The 19,189-nt window shown below is 53.4% G+C and overlaps 2 protein-coding genes across 7 annotated transcripts in view, besides 1 other annotated feature; one reads left to right on the top strand and one right to left on the bottom strand.

The window, feature by feature from the left end:
• Positions 1-4,038, top strand: part of COG7 (component of oligomeric golgi complex 7) — a 64,697-nt gene extending 60,659 nt beyond the window's left edge. For both annotated transcript variants that reach the window (NM_153603.4, XM_017023870.2), the window contains exons 16-17: positions 8-151; positions 3,445-4,038. In NM_153603.4, the coding sequence (NP_705831.1) occupies positions 8-151; positions 3,445-3,611 (311 nt within the window). In that variant the 3' untranslated portion in view covers positions 3,612-4,038. The remainder of the gene's footprint in view (positions 1-7; positions 152-3,444) is intronic.
• SCNN1B (sodium channel epithelial 1 subunit beta) overlaps positions 11,237-19,189 on the bottom strand; it is a 103,064-nt gene continuing 95,111 nt past the window's right edge. For all 5 annotated transcript variants that reach the window (XM_017023525.2, XM_011545913.3, NM_000336.3 and 2 more), the window contains 6 exons: positions 16,676-16,793; positions 15,291-15,366; positions 15,145-15,202; positions 13,764-13,825; positions 12,362-12,437; positions 11,237-12,110 (listed from right to left, as the gene is read on the bottom strand). In XM_017023525.2, coding sequence (XP_016879014.1) covers positions 11,730-12,110; positions 12,362-12,437; positions 13,764-13,825; positions 15,145-15,202; positions 15,291-15,366; positions 16,676-16,793 — 771 coding nt within the window. In that variant the 3' untranslated portion in view covers positions 11,237-11,729. The remainder of the gene's footprint in view (positions 12,111-12,361; positions 12,438-13,763; positions 13,826-15,144; positions 15,203-15,290; positions 15,367-16,675; positions 16,794-19,189) is intronic.
• Positions 11,972-12,473: an enhancer, noted in NCBI's record as "H3K4me1 hESC enhancer chr16:23391379-23391880 (GRCh37/hg19 assembly coordinates)". NCBI's record gives its function as "activates a minimal SCP1, AML or CMV promoter by ChIP-STARR-seq in naive H9 embryonic stem cells {active_cell/tissue: H9 hESC(naive)}" and the evidence as "EXISTENCE:reporter gene assay evidence [ECO:0000049][PMID:30033119]".

The following is a 19,189-nucleotide window of genomic DNA, read 5'->3' as shown; positions in this document are numbered from 1 at the left end:
TTTTCAGGGGATGAATTGCCCGAGCTGGACAACATGGCTGACAACTGGCTGGGCTCGATCGCCAGAGCCACAATGCAGACCTACTGTGATGCGATCCTACAGATCCCTGAGCTGAGCCCACACTCTGCCAAGCAGCTGGCCACTGACATCGGTGGGTCCCCACAAGACAGGCGGTGGGAGGGACAGCTCTTGCCTGCTGCATCTGTCAGTTTCTCCTTTGCCCTCCAGGAATCTCATCCCAAGTCTTCCCTTAGCTTCAGCTGTGGATTTGGCTCTGAAGCTGGTTGAAAATTCAGGTTCTCCAGGCCCTGCCCCAGAGATTCTGACTTAGCAAGACCGGGCTGAAGCTCAGACATCTATGTTTTCGAAGAGGACTTGAGAACCGTTGAGGGGAGCTTCAGTGAGATAAGATTCAGCGAGTCCTGCAGCCTGGCCCCACCTGGCCCGCTCCATTTGTGCCATAATTCCCAACCAGTGTTTAATGAGCTCTTACTGCATACCAGGCATGCCTGGCGCTGGACCAAGCACTCGCACCCATCGTCTTATGTAATTCCAAACTCCCCTGTGAGGTGGGTGCTCTCTTCTCCATCATACCGATAGGGAACGGAGGCCCAGGGCAGTTCCATAACAAGGCCATGTGGCCAGGGTCACTTTGTGGTCTCCATCCAGATAGCATCCTGCCTGCCAAGTCAGTGGGCGTGTCCCCTTTGCTCCTGCCTGCCCTCTTCACTGGAGGGCCTCACTGCCCAGGTGTACTCTGAGCATGGGGCTACTGCTGGCAGGTGGCAGGGAGTCTCCCCAGTCTCTTGATGCCATTCCAATACCTTGTCTGCTCTTTAGCCTAACGCACCTCTCGGGGTGGTCAGGAGAGCGGGTGGTAGAAGCCTGAAAGATCAGCTCCCTGGGGACACAGCCAGAGCTTCGTCCTCAGTGACCACAGGGCTGAGCCAGGCTCAACCGGCTTCTGGCTCTTGTTTTGCAGAAGAAGAACTAGAAGCAAGGTGCTTTCCTCCGGGTCCCAGAGCTGTTAGTGATGGAGCCAGGCCTGGGATCCAGCTTTCCTGAGTTCCTGACCCCTGCTCATTTCATAGTCAGCTCTCAGCACTTACCAGAGGAACAGGCAGCCTTTTGGCTACTGCCCTTCAGAGAAAGAGAGATGAGAGAATTCAAATGCGTGTTGGTGTTCCCTGTTAGTACAAGCAGCAGCAGGGGGAAGAACTGGAACTAGTGAGTGGAGTGAAATCTAGGGATTGCCCCTCAGTTTCAGTTGTCCTTGTTATTCCTCCCTGTTAAGCTCCCCCTGCAGATTCATTTCTTCACTCATTCAGCATTGCTCGAGCATCTGTGTGCCAGCTGTAGTTCTAGGAGATAGAGACAACAAAGCTTTAGGCAGCTCCCATGCTTAGTGAGCTTACACTGTAAGGATGTACGGTTAGGGGCAGGGAAGGTAAGGCTAGTATATGAAACTGACAGGGTATAAGGCGACAGAGTGGTGAGGTCTGTGGCAAAGCATGCACACCTGAAAGACATTCAAATTAAGCATGAGCACAAACAGAACAAAAAACACTGCTCGCCAAACAAAAATGTCCTAGTAGACTGTGGGCCCGCTCTTTGCAGCTCTTGGCTGACAGTCAAGTGGAGCTCACGGTTTTATGGATAAACTTGTAAAGGAGTAAGTACGTGCCTGGCGGCACCTTTGCTGGGAAGCAGCTCTTCCTGAGTCAGCCGTGACAGAGCAGGCATCTCCTCCTGGCCCTGCCCTGAGTGGGGCCTAAAAAGAAAACACAGGGGGCTGGGCACCATGGCTCATGCCTGTAATCCCAGCACTTTGGGAGGCCGAGGCAGGAGGATCGCTTGGGCCTAGGAGTTTGAGGCCAACCTGGGCAACATAGTGAGACCCTGTCTCTACAAAATATTAAAAACAAAACAAAACAAAAAACACAAGGAAAGTTGAGGCCTTGCCTGGAGCTCCACTTTAGTCAAGGAGAAGAGATGAACCCAAGATCAGAAAGTAGCCGGTGGGGGGGCACTGAGCGCGGTGGCTCATGCCTGTAATCCCAGCACTTTGGGAGGCTGAGGTGGGTGGATCACCTCAGGTCAGAAGTTTGAGACCAGTCTGGCCAACATGGCGAAACCCCGTCTCTACTAAAAATACAAAAAATTAGCCAGGCGTGGTGGTAGGCGCCTGTAATCCCATCTACTTGAGAGGCTGAGGTAGGAGAATTGCTTGAACCCAGGAGGCGGAGGTTGCAGTGAGCCGAGATCGCAGCATTGCACTCCAGCCTGGGCAACAAGAGTGAAACTCTGTCTCAGAAAAGAAAAAAAAAAAAAAAAAAAAAACTAGCCAGGGGCATATCGGGTGGTGCTGTCTTCTAGTCTTTCCAAGCATGAACTGGGAGGAGCTGGAGAAGGCTTTGCAAGGCTTCCCTTGGGTTGGGTTGCACTGCCCAGGCAGGAGGGAAAGGCAGCATTGATATATTGATCACCTGCGACACATCAGGTGCTCTCATGTTCGTTTCCCGCTTCATCCCCTATCCATGCTGCCGGATGGGTGGTAACTGTGGACAGATGGAAGCAGAGACTCAGGGAGGTAGAAGGGCTTCTCTGAGGTCACACCTGGCTGCACCTGGTTTGCTCCCCCATGCTGTCTGTTTTGCCCAAGCTTGCCTGGTGGTTAGAACCACCGGGGTCGCTTTGTAGAATGACAGAACCCTAGAATCCTCTCTTGGGATGCTCATCAACCTAGTCTGGGGGTAGGCTCAGAAATCTGTATCCGATTGTATCCCCAGTGCCTCAGGGGTCATCTGGGAAATGTGGAAACCTGTGTTATACCAGGGTCCCACCCCAGACACTGTCCTTGTCTTCACTGCGGCGTTCTGACTGGAGGTCTTTAGTAACTGCTCAGACAAGCTTGTGTGTCTCCTGACCCTCTGGGTTTTCCAAGTGGTCAGTGGATACCCTGGGGGCCAGGGCTTGGAACCCAGGAGTCCCCAGAACAGAGCTTTGGGTGAGGTCAGCTGGTCCTTCAGACTGGTGCTGAAGGCGGGTGTGTGCATGTGAGTGTGAGTGTGGATGTGAGAGTGTGTGCATGTGAGTGTGTGTACATGTGAGTGTGTGTGCGAGTTTGTGTGAGTTTGGATGTGAGAGTGTGTGTGCGTGTGTGTGCATGTGAGTGTGTATGTGTGTGGTTGGGGATGGGAGTGATGTTGGTTAGTTCTTTATTAAATTAGAGTTCCTAGACTCGAGCCAAGCTCACAGTCTGGTCTGACACTGTGGGAAGAACCTGGTGAGTAAAGGGCCTATTGAGGGCAGGGTTGGCGCCCCACATCTAGGGACTTGGCAGGGCAGCTTCTCTGTGTCGTATTCAGGGGAGGCCCTGTGGGGCTCTGACCTGCTTGGTGCTGAGTCTGTGGAGCTCTGTCTGTCTCCTCTCCGCCCCCACAGACTATCTGATCAACGTGATGGATGCCCTGGGCCTGCAGCCGTCCCGCACCCTCCAGCACATCGTGACGCTACTGAAGACCAGGCCTGAGGACTATAGACAGGTCAGCAAAGGCCTGCCCCGTCGCCTGGCCACCACCGTGGCCACCATGCGGAGTGTGAATTACTGACCCCACCACACACCGGACCACCAAGAGAGCCAGGGCTGCTGTTTCGCGACTCACCAGCACAGATTTGCTCAGAAACTCTGCCCAAGATTGGGCAGAAGTTACTTTAAAAAGACTTGGTTCAGCTGGTCACGGTGGCTCACGCCTGTAATCCCAGCACTTTGGGAGGCCAAGCCAGATGGATCATGAAGCCAGGAGTTCGAGACCAGCCTGACCAACATGGTGAAACCCCATCTCTACTAAAAATACAAAAATTAACAGCAGAGCGAGACTCTGTCTCAAAAAAAAAAAAAAAAAAGACTTGGTTCATTTGTATAATCAAAAAGAGTTGTAAATTAAAGATGTATTATTTATCAGAGAAGACTTTTTAGATAATTTTTTTAAAGGATCAGATCTTGAAAATGGAATAAATAACTACTGTGAAATGCAAGAAGACTGTTTCCTTCTTCTTTTTTTTTCCCCCTCACTCTTTCACCCAGGCTGGAGTGCAGTGGTGTGATCTTGGCTCACTGCAGCCTCCGCCTCCTGGGCTCAAGTGATTCTCCCCCTTCAGCCTCCCGAGTAGCTAGGATTACAGGCACCCGCCACCACGCCCGGCTAATTTTTGTATTTTTAGTAGAGATGGGGTTTTGCCATGTTGGCCAGGCTGGTCTCAAACTCCTGACCTTAAGTGATCTGCCTGCCTCAGCCTCCCAAAGTGCTGGGATTACAGGTGTGAGCCACTGCACCCAGCCTCTTACTTCTTCAGTGCATTTTTTAGTGCTTCCCACATGTCTGCCATGTTGTGCGCACTGGGAATGTCTAGGGATATGGGTCCTCCCCTGTAGCTTATGTTCAGTGGGAGAGGGAGGGAGAAGAAGGTAAATGGGGATAATTTCAGAGGTAAGTGCTAGCAGAAAAGCGGGTGTCAGGGTGGAAGCTGGCACTGCATAAAGTGGGCAGCCCGAGACCTACAGAGTAAGAGCCATGTGGCAGAGAGTGAAGGAGGAGGTGCGTTCAGGCCCAGGGAGTGGTGCAGACCGGGCCCTGAGGCATGTCCAAGGGCGGCTGGGGCAGGAGAGGAGGGGCTTCATGGAGGAAAGGGTGAAGCAGTATCCCTGGAGAAGCTGGGGGCCAGATCATAAGGGGGCTCGTCAGCCATGGTAAGGAATTAGGCTTTCAGTTTTTTCCTTTTTTTTTTTTGAGACAAGGTTTCACTCTGTCACCCAGGCTGGAGTGCAGTGGCACAATCGCAGCTCACTGCAGCCTCGAATTCTTGGGCTCAAGCAACTCCCCCGCTTCAGCCCGTTAAATAGCTGAGACTGCAGATGGAGACCACCATACCTGGCTAATTTTTTAAAACATTTTTTGTAGGAACGGGATCTTGCTTTGTTGCCCAGGGTGGTCTCGAACTCTGAGGCTCAAGTGATCCTCCTGCCTTGGCCTCCAAAGTGCTAGGATTACGGGTGTGAGCCACTGTGCCTGGCCCACATTTTTTCTTTTTTAAAATGTATGGTGTATGAACTTCAGTGTTTTTCATTAATAGCGTCTATCTGTTAAGATTATATTTGGCTATAAGTAATGGAATAACGTAATTTGAGTGACTTAAACAGAAATTAATTTTTCTTGATAACAAGAAATAAAAAGAAGTAAAAGGTGGCTGGGCACGGTGGCTCACGCCTATAATTCCAGCACTTTGGGAGGCTGAGGCAGGCAGATCACCTGAGGTCAGGAGTTCAAGACAAGCCTGGCCAACATGGCAAAACCCCGTCTCTACTAAAAATACAAAAATTAGCTGGGCATGGTGGTGCGTGCCTGTAATCCCAGCTACTCTGGAGGCTGAGGCAGGAGAATTGCTTGAACCCAGGAGGCAGAGGTTGCAGTGAACCCAGATAGCGCCACTGCACTCCAGCCTGGGTGACAGAGTGAGACTCCATCTCAAAAAAAAAAAAAAAAAAATAGTGGTGGCTACAGGCACTGATTTAGTGGCTGGTTGGAGTCAGGCCCTGTGATTTGAAACTTAGCCCCATGTGCTGGAGGCCTCATCGTGGCAGGTGACTCTTGCAACTGCAGGTGCTGCATCTGCATTCAGGGAAAAAGGGAGCAGAGAAGGTAGAGCAGCAATTCTGTCCCTTCTATCATGCAAGTGGCGGCTTCCCTGGAAGCCCTGGCCAGCCTTCTCCTAGCCCTCACTGGCTGTTTCTCAGTCATGAGGCATCCCCGCTACAAAGGAGGCGGGAAAGCCCAGGCTGGCTTCTACCAGCGTTTCTCAGCCTTGGCTATTGACGTTTTGGGCTGTACAGCTCTGCGTTTGACGCTGTTCTGTGCGTTGCAGGCTGTTTAACTTTCCTGACCCACTAGATGCCAGTAGTATTTTCCTAGTTGTGAAACCAAAAATGTCTCCAGAAACTTCCTCCAGTTGAGAAACACTGGCTTAGACCAATCAGGATTTATAGCCTGAGCTGGGCTTATTGGCTGCCTTGATTGGGTTTCTGTTAACAAGAAAGAAAGGGGATGGCAGTGGTGCCTGTCACAGGGGCTGTCATTGGAATTGAGCCCTGCCTGGGTCTCAGGGGCTGGGCTGAGCTCTGCCTCTCTCTGGGATGTCTCACTTAAACCTCACCACAGACTGGGCATAGTGGCTCACACCTGTAATCCTAGGGCTTTGGGAGGCTGAGGCGGGAGGATCGCTTGAGGCCACGAGTCTGAGACCAGCTTGGGCAACATAGTGAGACCCTGTCTCTACAAAAAAAAAATACAACAATTAGCCTGTGGTGGTGCACACCTTTGGTTTCAGCTACTTTGGAAGCTGAGGTGGGAGGATTGCTTGTGCTTGGGAGTTTGAGGCTGCAGTGAGCCAAGATTGCACCATTACACTCCAGCCTGGGTGATAGAGCAACACTCATCTCTATAAAAAATTTTTAAAAATTATCTGGGCTTGGTGGTGGGCACCTGTAGTCCCAGCTACTCAAGAGGGTGAGACAGGAGGCTCACTGGAGCCCAGGAATTGGAGGTTGCAATGAGCTGTGATCTCGCCACTGCCCTCCAGCCTGGGTGACAGTGAGACCCTGTGTCAATCAATCAATATATAAATAAATAAACAGACCTCACTCTAGCCTTGGGAGGCGGGGAGTCTTATCCACAGTGTGGCAAGGTTTAAGGACTTTCCTAGAGCCATTCAGCTACCCTGTGGCAGGGCCAGAGTTCAGAGTGAGCCTGGTGACCGTGGCACCTGTACTCTTGCCCGGCTATCAGGCAGCCTTCCTCATGTGGGACACGGTGGGCACGTGGCGGGACACATCCCAGCGGGCCGGCAGGTCGCCCAGGCCAGCCCTCTGGAGTGACCCTGCCATCCCCAAGGCCGTTCTTTTTTTTTGAGATGGAGTCTCGCTCTATCGCCCAGGCTGGAGTGCAGTGGGGTGATCTCAGCTCACTACAACCTCCGCCTCCTGGGTTCAAGTGGTTCTCGTGCCTCAGCCCCCCGAGTAGCTGGGATTACAGGCACATGCCACCATGTCTGGCTAATTTGTGTATTTTTAATAGAGACGGGGTTTCATCATGTTGGCCAGGCTTGTCTTGAACTCCTGACCTCAGGTGATCTGCCTGCCTCGGCCTCCCAAAGTGCTGGGGTTACAGGCGTGAGCCACTGCGCCCAGCCTCCAACACTCTTGAACCAGCCCCACTGGGCTACTAGGGCCAGTGTCCCACCGGCTCTGTCCTCACAGGGCTTCCCACACATGCCATCCTCACATCCTCAGAACCAGTTTGGCTGGCCCCGACAGCATCGGCTTCAAACCCACACAAAGAAAAATATTTTGGTTTCTCATGTGGTGGATCACAGGCTGTTCCTGGCAGGGTTTGAGCCTGGCTATTGCCTCGAAGAAGCGAGAGCCAGAAACCTGGAAGGTGACACATGCTGCTCGAAAGTGGAAGCTTTGTGGTGAGCTTTGTGCTGGGCTCATGAGAGCTACTAGGCTGTGGAGTGGGACAGGCTTGGGCTTGATTCAACGCTTCGCCAACTCCCAGCTGCTGTGTGACCTTGGAAAAGTCACCTCACCTCTTCGCGCCTCATTTCCTAATCTGAAAACTGGGAGTCAAAATGGTACCTAACTCACAGGGTTATTTGAAGAGCCGCTGAAATACAGTGGTGGTGGCCACATGTACACAATGTTAATTTCTTTCTTTTTTTTTTTTTTTTTTTGGAGACAGAGTCTCGCTCTGTGTCCCAGGCTGGAGTGTAGTGGTGTGATCTCGGCTCACTGCAACCTCTGCCTCCTGGGTTCAAGCAATTCTCCTGCTTCAGCCTCCCAAGTAGCTGGGATTACAGGCATGCGCCACCATGTCTGGCTAATTTTTGTATTTTAGTAGAGATGGGGTTTCACCATGTTGGCCAGACTGATCTCGAACTCCTGACCTCAAGTGATTCGCCCACCTCGGCCTCTGAAAGTGCTGGGATTACAGGCATGAGCCACCGTGCCCAGCCCACAATGTTAATTTCATAGTCTTCTGGCATCTGTAACCCTCCTTTCCTTTTGGGGTAGAGTTGGGAATTACAGAATGCTGTTTTTGGGCAATTTGGGCTCTGCAGGCCTAAGTTTCCAGCCGTGAAAAAGGGATCTCAGAGTAGGAGCGGGACAGCATTTCTCTTCGCTAGATCCAGAGGGCAGGGGAATGAATGACTTGGAGCCTGCTTTTAGCAATGAGGCCATTGCACCACAGCCTGGCCCTCATGGCCCCTTGAGAGCAGGGATGGCAAGCTGATGCTCACCCTCAGCCTGGTCCTGACCTCACAATCTACAGGCAGCTCCAAAATGTCTCTGAACAGGACCTCTTACAGGTGTCTGTAAAGGGCCGCCCTCCATAGATTCACTCAGGGCCGGCCAGGCAGCATCTTCATCCATTCCCTGTTGCCATGACCTGTTCAGGATGATCGTGGGCCCTGGGTGGGTCCAAACAAGCCTCATTCTTGGGGCTATTGCTGGGAAAATGTTCAGGAAGAGCTTTCTTCCCCCTGGGATTGCTGTGCTGAGGGGACAGGGCTGCAATTGCAGGTGTAAAGAGATATTCAGAAAGAACAGCACGTGGAGGAAACCTTTCTAAGAAGGACAGCAACACAGAATCACCAGATAGGGCCAGGCGTGGTGGCTCACACGTGTAATCTCAGCACTTTGGGAGGCCGAGGCTGGTGGATCGCTTGAGCCAAGAGTTCAAGACCAGCCTGGGCTACATGGGAAGACACCCTCTCTCCAAAAAATACAAAAATTAGCTGGACGTGGTGGTGCATGCCTGTAGTCCCAGCTACTGAGGGAGGCTGAGGTGGGAGGATTGCTTGAGCCCAGGAGGTCCAGACTGCAGTGAGCCGTGATTGTGCCACTGCACCGCAGCCTGGGCAACAGAGTGAGACCCTGTCTCAAAACAAGAAAAAAAGAAACCTTAGGCCGGGCATGGTGGCTCACGCCTGTAATCCTAGCACTTTGGGAGGCCGAGGTGGGTGGATCACCTGGGGTCAGGAGTTCGAGACCAGCCTGGCCAACATAGTGACATCCCATCTCTATCAAAATATAAAAATTAGCCAGATGTGGTGGTGGGCGGCTGTAATCTCAGCTACTTGGGAAGCTGAGGCAGGAGAATCGCTTGAACCCAGGACGGGGAGGTTGCAGTGAGCCGAGATAGCGCCATTGCATGCCAGCCTGGGCAATGAGCAAAACTCCATCTCAAAAAAAAAGAAAAAAGAAACCCCAGACCTAGGCGAGCCCCTGCATACAGCCATGCCTGAAACCCTTTTACTACAAGAGCTAATGAATTCCCTTTGTAGCTTAAGCCTGTTCAAATTGACATGTAACTGAAGAGCTGTCACGCGGGCTAGATAATAATGCCCCATAGCTTCAAATAAGATAATAAATATGAAAGCTCTGGGCTCCCGTAAGGGACTGGTATTGTTATGACCATTGGCACCCAGAGGGTGAGGCTGGGGTCTCAGCTTTGTCACTTAAAAACCTCGAGTACCTTACTTCACCTCTTAAGCCTCAGTGTTCTTACCTGTGCAATGGGATGCTATTATACTATTTCTCAGTGGTTATGAGAATGAAATAAAATTTAAAAAGTTACTGGCATAGTGCCTGGCATATGATAAGTACTTGATCCAATGTAGTCCTTGTTTAATAACAACAAATGGTAACAGTGATTGTGGCCACAACTACTACTGCTAGTAATAAAAGCGGTAATCACAGTAGTAAGTAATCACAGCGGTAATCACACAGTAAGTAGTAAGGGTGGTAACCACCAAGAGTTGTGGGCCCAGCCTGCGAGCTAGCCAGGCCCCAAGCTGGGAAACCCGGTTTCCTACTCAGCCCTCCCTACTCAGCCCCTAGCAACGTTGCCTTTGACTGAAGTGGCACCGACTCTGTGGCACCTCCTTCTTCCACAGGTGCCATCCTGAGCACTTGATGGGAGGCCAGCTTGTTTACCTTCCAGACCAAGGGACACAGGTGACCTAGGCCAGGAAGGCTGGGCCCTCAGAGGCTCAGGCTCTAAGCCAGCCTCTCCTTCATCACCAGGGGCCCGGTAGGTGACAGCAGGGTGCTGCAGTGCTGTGTGTGCACCTGCCAGACCGTACTCTGGTGACAGCTCCCTGATCTCTCTTTGGGTACCTTAAGCTTTTGGGGGACGGTATTTAGCAATTAAAAATACAGAATGAAAAAAATTAAAATTAAATTTTAATTAAAAAAAATTAGCCAGGCATGGTAGTGCACACCTGTAATTCCAGCTGCTTGGGAGGCTGAAGTGGGAGGATGGCTTGAGCCCAGGAGTTTGAGGCTACGGTGAGCTATGATCATGCCATTGCACTCCCACCTGGGCAACACAGTGACACCCCATCTCTATAAAAATATATATGTATAAAATGCTCAAAAAAAACAACAAATGATTTATTTGTATGTGTCTCTAGTATTGCATGGATGTACATATACTAAAAAAATCAGTTTTTCGGCTGGGGTCGGTGACTCATGCCTGTAATCCCACCACTTTGAGAGGCTGAGGCAGGTGGATCGCCTGAGGCCAGGAGCTTGAGACCAGCCCGGCCAACATGGTGAAACCCCGTCTCTATTAAAAATATGAAAATTAGCTGGGCGTGGTGGCATGCACCTGTAATTCCAGCTACTCGCGAGGCCAAGGCATGAGAATCACTTGAACCCAGGAGGCAGAGGTTACAGTGAGCCAAGATCGTGCCACTGCACTCCAGCCTGGGCAATGACAGTGAGACTCCATCTCAAAAAAAAAAAAAATCAGTTTGTCTATCTGAAATTCAAATTCAACCAAGCAGCCTGATTGTTATCTGGCAACCGTGGGTACTGTGCCCCCACCGCCCTTGGACCATGTGATTCTCCTGGGGGCCAAACTGGCTTCAGGTCTGGGCAGATGAATTCAGGTGTGACCAGTCAGAGCAGCTTATCTAACTGGCCACACTGACTGGGTCAGAGATGGGTACACAACCCAGGCAGGGATCAGTGAGTGTCAGCCTGGGAGCTGGCAGTGGAAGGAGGGGCTTGAGAGCCTTTCCCTTAAACCAGTTTGGGTCTCAAGCCACTATGGATGCCCTTCCGCCATCAGGGCACCTCGGCTGCCCAGTCAAACAAACAACACAGCTGGACTCAGTATTTTCTACTTTTATTTTCTAGAGTAAATCAGGTGCCACTTGGCAGGGTCCCTACACCTGATGCCCTTCCATCTCTCCACCACCCCTGCCCCAGAGGCCAGCCAAGGCCAGGAAGGAGAAAACCACATGGCCCACCCGCCTGTTCCTCTCTGGGGTGGATGGAGACTGGCACTGGGAGGGAAGTGGCCTGCCACCAGGAGAGGGTGTTCCGAGGGGTCTTCAGGACCAGGATCAGGACAGGTAGGGACGAGGGTAGGAACCAGGTGAAGATACAATTTATTCCTGCATCCTGTACCAGCACCGTGATTCTACAGAGCCCTTGGCCAGTAACGGACCAGTTGCCGCTGGCCTCTCTGTTGAAGGACACAAGCTCTGGCCTGGAGAGCTACCCTCCCGACCCTTTGGAGAGGGCACCATACAGTGAGGCCTCGGGCAACAGTCTTGGCTGCTCAGTGAGTTTCAGCCGCCCGGGGTGGGCAGGGGCAGGGTTAGATGGCATCACCCTCACTGTCAGACTCGATGACGTCCAGCGGCTGCAGACGCAGGGAGTCATAGTTGGGGGGCGGGGTGCCTGGGATGGGCAGGGCCTGCTCACTGGGGTAGGGCCCAGTGTTGGGGCTGCGGGGGGCCGTGTCAGGCTGGAAGCCAAAGTTGGTGTGGGCCTCCACCAGCTCGGCCACGGTGGGCGGTGGGCCAGCGTAGCTGGCTTGGGCTCGCCGCTGCCGTAGGCTCTTGGCCAAGGCCACCAGCTTGATGATGGTGATCCACACAAAGTCGATGATGATCTCCCCAAACTCGATGAGGCACAGCACAGAGCCCCCCATCCAGAAGCCAAACTGGCCACCCAGATTCGAGAGCAGCCAGACGATCTGTGGGGAACAGGGAGCTGGGGTGAGCTCAGGCCACACATTCTTGCCTCTAGCCCAGCCTCACAGCTTCCTGGGAGGTGATTCTTGGGTGGGAACGGGAGGGGGTGACCATCTTGGCCCAGGGGAATAACTTGGGACTGTCTTAGGGATCTTCCTAATTCCTTCATAGGGCTCAGAACCCTTCCCCCACCCTCAGGGTGCAGGGGTCAGGGCAGGGCAGGGCTGGGGTATTGGGAGACTCCTAAACTCACGTTATTGGCTGCTGATTCTTCAATGGTGCGATAGTTAAATTCTTGGAAGTAGATGTTGAGCTTGACAATTCCCTTCCTGCAGGAGGCAGCGAGAAGGGCCGGGACTAATGTATCCCCCTTCCAAACAGACAGACACACACACACGCACATAGACACATGCACACACATGCACGTGCACACACCCACATGTATGCACACACATGTACCCACACACCCGTGCACACATGCACACAGGAAGGCAGCCAGGGATGGCCGCCCCAGCCCTCCTCTGTCCTGAGCTTCTCTCATGCGTGCCCCCGTGAGTGGGGAGGTCCAAACGAGAACTGCAAGTGCAGCCCTTCCCGGCCCTTCTGGGCATCTCTGCCCAGCACCCATCCTATGGCCCCCTTTCTCCATCCCCTGACTACCAGTTCCCTACAGGACACTCTGGCCTGGGACAGCCCCAAAGATCTGCTCTGAGCTCCCCACTTTGTGCCATCAGGGTGGCCTGGGCTATACGGAGTGACTCCGCACAGAGCTCTTCACTGAGCCTTGAGCGCCTTCACTGCACCTGGGACAGAGAAGGGTGGCTGTGTGGGCATCCCCTCCCACCTGATCGTCCTCAGGCTGTGCTGTCTCGTGCCTCCAGGCTTTCCAGCTTTGTCTTCTGCCTGGACATTGGTACCTCTTCTTATCTGAACAGCACTTACTCCTCCTTGGAGAGTTCACTCAAAGCCACCTCCCTACGCAGACCTCCCTTATCTCTCAGGCAGACTGAGGCTCCTTCCCTGCTGTACTCCTAGAGTAGGGGGCTTGTACAGACCCTCCTCTCCTTGAGCCCTTTTTACATATGTTTGCCCCCTAGACTCCTGCTAGCTTGGACTGTGTGTCTTTCTTGTGCTCAACTAGTGTTTGTGTTGAATGGATGGAGAGATCCATGAATAAACGGAGGATGGCTGGGTGCGTGGGTGGGAGAATGGAGAGGTGGATGATGGAGGGATGAATGGGTGGAGGATGGCTGGCTGCGTGGGTGGGAGAATGGAGGATGAATGAGTGGAGGATGGCTGGGTGTGTGGGTGGATGATGGAGGGATGAATGGGTGGAGGATGGCTGGGTGGGAGAATGGAGGATGAATGAGTGGAGGATGGCTGGGCGCGTGGGTGGATGATGGAGGATGAATGGATGGCTGGTTGGATGCACAGTGACAGAGGGAAGCACAGGCTTCTCCTTAGCAGGTGGTAGACTCAGAGTCCCCTTGGCTGCCTTTCCTCTCTCTCACTCCTAGTGCCTCCTCCTCAAGACTTGCTCCTCGGTCTGACCCATGTGAGAATGTGTCTGAGGAGCTGTCCTGTGTCCAAACTCCTGCCCCGAGTTTCTGGACCCCTTCCCTGTCTTCCCCAGCCCCGCCCAGGCTCAGGCTCACCTGCTCAGGGTGATATTGGTGCTTTGGTCCCGCTCCTGAGACAAGACGTGGAAAATCCAGTCCTGGAACCCAAGAAGGTGGTTGCAAAAGTTGCCATCTGCAGCATCCCTCCCAGTCATGGCTCTGTTCCCTGGGGGAGGTAGACCACAGCCCTGTCCCTTCCTGAGGCCCCCGGGGGAATCACAATTTGGATGAGGAGCAGGAGGAAGGTCGTAGTGGAAGCTGTGGCTGCTGTTCTAGGGGAGGAAGGACTCGGGCCTCCAGACTCTTCCTCGGCGGGCCTGGCCACCCTGCCCGGCTCTCTCCCACCTCTGGTCCTCACACTTCCTGCTCCCTCTGCCCGGAATCCTCCCCAGCTCTGCCCATGATGGCTCAGCCTCTGCCTCCAGGTGTCAGCTCCAATGTCACCTTTTCAGAGAGGCCTTCCCTGACCACTCGGTCTAACATGCTTTCCCAGAAGCTGGGCATGGTGGCTCATGCCTGTAATCCCAGCATTTTGGGAGGCTGAGGTGGGAGGATCGCTTAAGGCCAGGAGTTCAAGACCAGCCTGGGCAACATAGCGAGACTCCATCTCTACAAAAAGTTTAACAATTAGCCAGGCCTGGTGGCATGTGCCTGTGGTCCCAGCTGAGGATCACAGCTGAGGCAGGAGCATCACTTAAGCCCAGGAGTTCGAGGCTTCAGTGAGCTGTGATCGTACCACTGCACTCCAGCCTGGGCGACAGAGGAAGCCCCTGTCTCCAAAAATAAAAAATAAAGTAAAAATACAAAAATAAAGTAGTTTCCCGCAGTTACTCTCTCCCATAACCTGTTTATTTATTTCACAGCCATAATCACACTTTGAAACGATTTTATTTCTGCTTGTGATCTTGGCCCTCTCCTATTAAAAGGATTATGTCTGTCTAATTCTGTGCTGTGTACACAGCACAGTGCCTGGGAGAATATTGGTGGAAGGAAAGAAGGAAGGAAGGAAAGAAGGAAGGGAGGGAGGAAGAAAGGAGGAAGGAAGGAAAGAAAGAAGGAAACAGAAGTGGGGAGGGAGGGAGAAGGAAGGAGGAAAGGAAAGAAGGAAGGAAATGAGAAGGGAGGGAGAAAGGAAGGAAGGAAAGAAGAAGGGAGGGAGGAAGGAAGGGAGAAGGAATGAAGGAAGGAAGAAAGAAGGAAGGAAGGAAGGGAGAAGGGAGGGAGGAAGGGAAAAGAGAGGAGGAAGGAAGGAAGGAATAAAGCAGAGAAAGAAGGAAGGAAGGAGGGAAACAGAGAAGGAAGGAAGGAGGGAGGGAAAAAGGCACCCCCTTCAAATTTCCAAATAGCCCACATCTTATGCCCAGACTTGTCCCCAGCCAAAGGTGGGAGCCAGGAGCTTGGCCCCCAACTGTCTCACCTCGGAGGCCTCAGAAGGCCAGTCAGCCATGGAGATGGTCATCTTGTACTGGGTGTCACTGAAAGAGAAGGCCAGGCCTGTTGTGGTCCCTGCCAGTGATGCCCCTCCATGCCTGCCCGCTGCTGTGCCCGCCCACCCGCACTCACTTGCAGGACTCCTTGCACATGCCAATGCAGGTCTCTCTCTGCGCCACGCTCATCTGTAGATCTGAGTAGCAATGGGCTGCGCAGGAGACAGAAAGGCGGCCAAGAGGTTTAAGGGGGCTTTTTAGGTGCCCCTGTTCCCTGCTGAGCCTCTGGCTGGCCCCTCTGCTCTCCTGGCCCTGTGGTTAGGTGGCAGGAGGAGGTGTCATGAAAAATCACCGCTCCCCACCCAGCCCCCGACCTCCAGCCATTTCACCCCAGCCTGGCCTGGGGCCCAGCTCAGGGGGGTCCCAGCAGCTTTCCCTTTGCCGGCCATCCCCATCCCTGCCTGGTGGACAGGGTTATGGGGTCATGAACAAAGGGTGGGTGACTGGAAGGAATAACGTTTTCCCATTTAGTTTGTGTTGGTTGTAAGTGGTGAGTCTCCGGCTGACAGCATTCTTTTTATTCTCTCTCTCTTTTACTTTTTTTTTTCTTTCTTTCTTTTTTTTTTTTTTTTATAGACGGGGTTTTGCCATGTTGGCCAGGCTGGTCTCGAACTCCTGGCATCAAGTGATCTGCTCACCGCGGCCTCCCAAAGTGTTGGGATTACAGGCACGAGCCACTGCACCCTGCTGACAAAATTCTTCGGTGGTTGGACTCCAGACCGCCAGGGCTCCCAGGCCCCAGCTCCAATTGGTTGTGAGCCCAGCAGGGCTCTTCTTCCTGCTGTGACTCCAGGTTTCGAGTCCTTGGAGGCTACCATCATGCTAATGGCTTCCTCACACTCCCCTTCCACCCAGCGCCTTGCAGAGAGACCCAATGAGCCCACATAGACATGAACACACATGCTGAAGATGGACACGTGGCCTTATACATACATGCACGTGCACACACACACACACACACACACACACACGTGCACAAAAGCCAGAGTGCACAAATGCAGACCCTGGAAGTGATTTGTGCCTGTGCATAAACTACATACAGCAACCCACTGCAGTCACGAACAGCTCCTGTGCATTTGGACGCAAGCATGGAAATGCCTTTGCACTTGTGCACTTGGAAACATGAGTGCAGGCACACACTCGCCAGCAGCCACATGCCCAGGGTTGCACATGTGTGAGCATTTGTGTGGCACACAGACACAGGCCCACAAGGACACGTGCATTCTATGCCTATGTGTTTCAAGCCCATGCTTCATGAAATTGAGGAGCAGAGAGAAGGCTGGGCTCCTGCAGAAAGGAGGCCTGGGAGGGGATCATAGGAGGGACCTCAGACTGTGGAGGAGCCACCCTGGGCACATCTCTGGACTCTGCTGAGGGCACTGAGCTCTGCCTCCTCCTCTATGGTCAGAGCCTCTGTGGCCCCAGATGGCTGGAGTGCCGATCCCCCGTGCCCCCGCTCACCCCAGTCTGGGAAGTCCCGGTTGTTGCAGTATTTCTCCCCACGGGGCAGTGGGTACAGGTAGTGGCCACAGTTGCAGTTACGGATCATGTGGTCTTGGAAGCAGGAGCGAAGACAGGCCTGGGGAGGGTAGGGGGTTCATAAGGAGAGAACACAGGCATGGTCAGTGATGTCCCCATTCCAGCACCAGGGGTGTCCAGAGAAGTGATGCCCAAGTTAAGGGAGGTAGGTGAGCTGGTGGAGGTGCTCCAGGGCTGAGAAGCTGTGGTGAGATGACTGGCTGCAGCTACAGACCCCACAGTCCTGGACGCTTTTGGGCTTCCCAGCAGGTCTCTGGACCCCACAGAGGGACCCAGGCCAGACCGCAGTATCCCAGGTCCCACCATTCAGAGCTGGGGTCCTCACCCTTCAACATGGGGAAGAGCGGCTTGCCCCTAATAATAAAGCCAATGCTCAGAGAGCTCTCATTATGAGGATGCCAGCCTCCGTCCAAGCACCTGACACAGATGCACCCTGACAGGCCACCGAGGAAGCTAGGCAGGCTGGCTCTGTGCTCCTTCCTCCCAGAGGGAATTGCCCAGGGAAAGCCAGGAGAAGGATGATCTCTGGGCGTCTTAATGCACAGCTGATGACAGAGGAAGTGAGTGGCCCACTGGTCTGCAGAATGTCTCCTGGTGGGGCGAGGAAGAGGAGGGCTCCCAGGCAGCCTCCAGGAGGCTGGACGTGATGAGTCTCCACTCACTCGGCCCCAACATACTGGGCTTTCAGGTCATTCTGACCTGGTTTCAGTCCACTCAGAGACCAGCTATGTGTCCTAGGGCGAGTCATGACCCTCTGGGGCTTGGTTTACTCATAGGTGAAACAGGGTGCTGAGGACACCTGTCTCCTGAGGTTGGGAGGGAGGATTCAGGGCCACATCAGGTGCTCAGGAAGCGCTGCACGGATGGAGGCAGTGGTTCTTGGTGTTTCATTGCCTATCCAGTTTCCTAGGTCCTGACTACCCCGGGCTCCTGGACACAGCCCTGGCCAGCTCCTCCCTACCTCTCTCCACTCGGCCCCGCCCCTCCACACCTGCGCTCCTGAGTCCTCTTCTGTTCCTCCTGCAGCCCGGGCTCCGTCTCAGGTCCCTATGTCCTGCCTTTCTATTACCCCTAACGAGTCTGTGGCTCTCTGAGGGCAGGAAATCAGGGCTGGAAGGCAGATTAAACGGCATGGCCAGGAGGAGCCAGAGCTCGGTTTCGGGCAAGTGTTTTACATTCTTTTTTTTTTTTTTTTTTTTTTTTTGAGATGGAGTCTTGCTCTGTTGCTCAGGCTGTAGTGCAGTGGCATGATCTCGGCTCACTGCAACCTCAACCTCCTGGGTTCAAGTGATTCTCCTGCCTTAGCCTCCTGAGTAGCTGGGATTACAGGCATGCACCACCACCCCCGGCTGATTTTTGTATTTTTAGTAGAGACCAGGTTTCACTATGTTGGCCAGGCTGGTCTCGAACTCCTGACCTCAAGTGATCCACCCACCTTGACCTCCCAAAGTGCTGGGATTACAGGTGTGAGCCATCGCGCCCGGCCTCTTTTTTTTTTTTTTTTTTTTTCCTGAGACAGGGTCTCACTCTGTTGCCCAGGCTGGGGTGCAGTGGCACGCTCATAACTCTCTGCATCCTCAAACTCTTGGGCTCAAGTGATCCTCCCGCCTCAGCCTCTGAATAGCTGGGACTATAGGCATGCACCACCACGCCCCACCAAGGCGTCTTATATTCTTGTAGACCTCTCTGTCTCATCTGGAAAGTGGGAGTCCTTCCAGGCCCTGTGATGGAGGCTGGGGTGGGCTCAAGCCTGCTCCTGGTTGGGGTGTCCATGGGGATGGGCAGAGCTCCCGATCAGGGCCTGGCTCTTGGCTGTTTTCTGGCCTGGGTGGCTACCACACCGGAAGAAACGAGAGATGCAGTTTTCCTGGAATGAGGTTTCTGGGGCTGGTACCTTCTTCTCCGTGTTTCCCACCTCCCTGTACTGTCCTGTCTGTCTGTCTGTCCCTCCAGAGGCTCAGATGACGGCTAGAGTTCTCCATAATGGGCAGAAGTCCCTCCAGACGCGAGGTGGCCAAACCAGCCAGGCAATGGGTGGGCAGGTGGGCACCAGGAGGGTCATTTCCTACGGGGAAAGGGCAAACCATGCCATGCTCGGGCACCCAGACACTGAGGCAGGCACTGGGCTGCCCTCTTGTTATGACTCAGTGCACTGATATGGCAAGGCAGACTGGGCTGGAGAGGAAGTATCAGCGAGTGGTCATTTTTGTCACCTTTGCAAGGATTCAGTCTGCCCTCTCCAAGGGGGCCAGGACTAGTGGCAGGTCTGGGTTAACTCTGGAGATCAGGATGAGAAGGAAGCCTCCAGCTACAGCAAGGGGGATTGAAGGCAGATGCAAAGAGGGACTTCCAGTGGGCGCAGTGGCTCATGCCTATAATCCCAGCACTTTGGGAGGCCAGAGTGGGAGGATTGCTTGAGCCCAGGAGTTCAAGACC

Source organism: Homo sapiens, chromosome 16, assembly GCF_000001405.40.
Source record: "Homo sapiens chromosome 16, GRCh38.p14 Primary Assembly".
In the NCBI taxonomy this organism is placed as follows: domain Eukaryota; kingdom Metazoa; phylum Chordata; class Mammalia; order Primates; family Hominidae; genus Homo; species Homo sapiens.
Note: the sequence above shows the minus strand (reverse complement) of the source record. Positions and strands in the feature narration are given on the sequence as shown.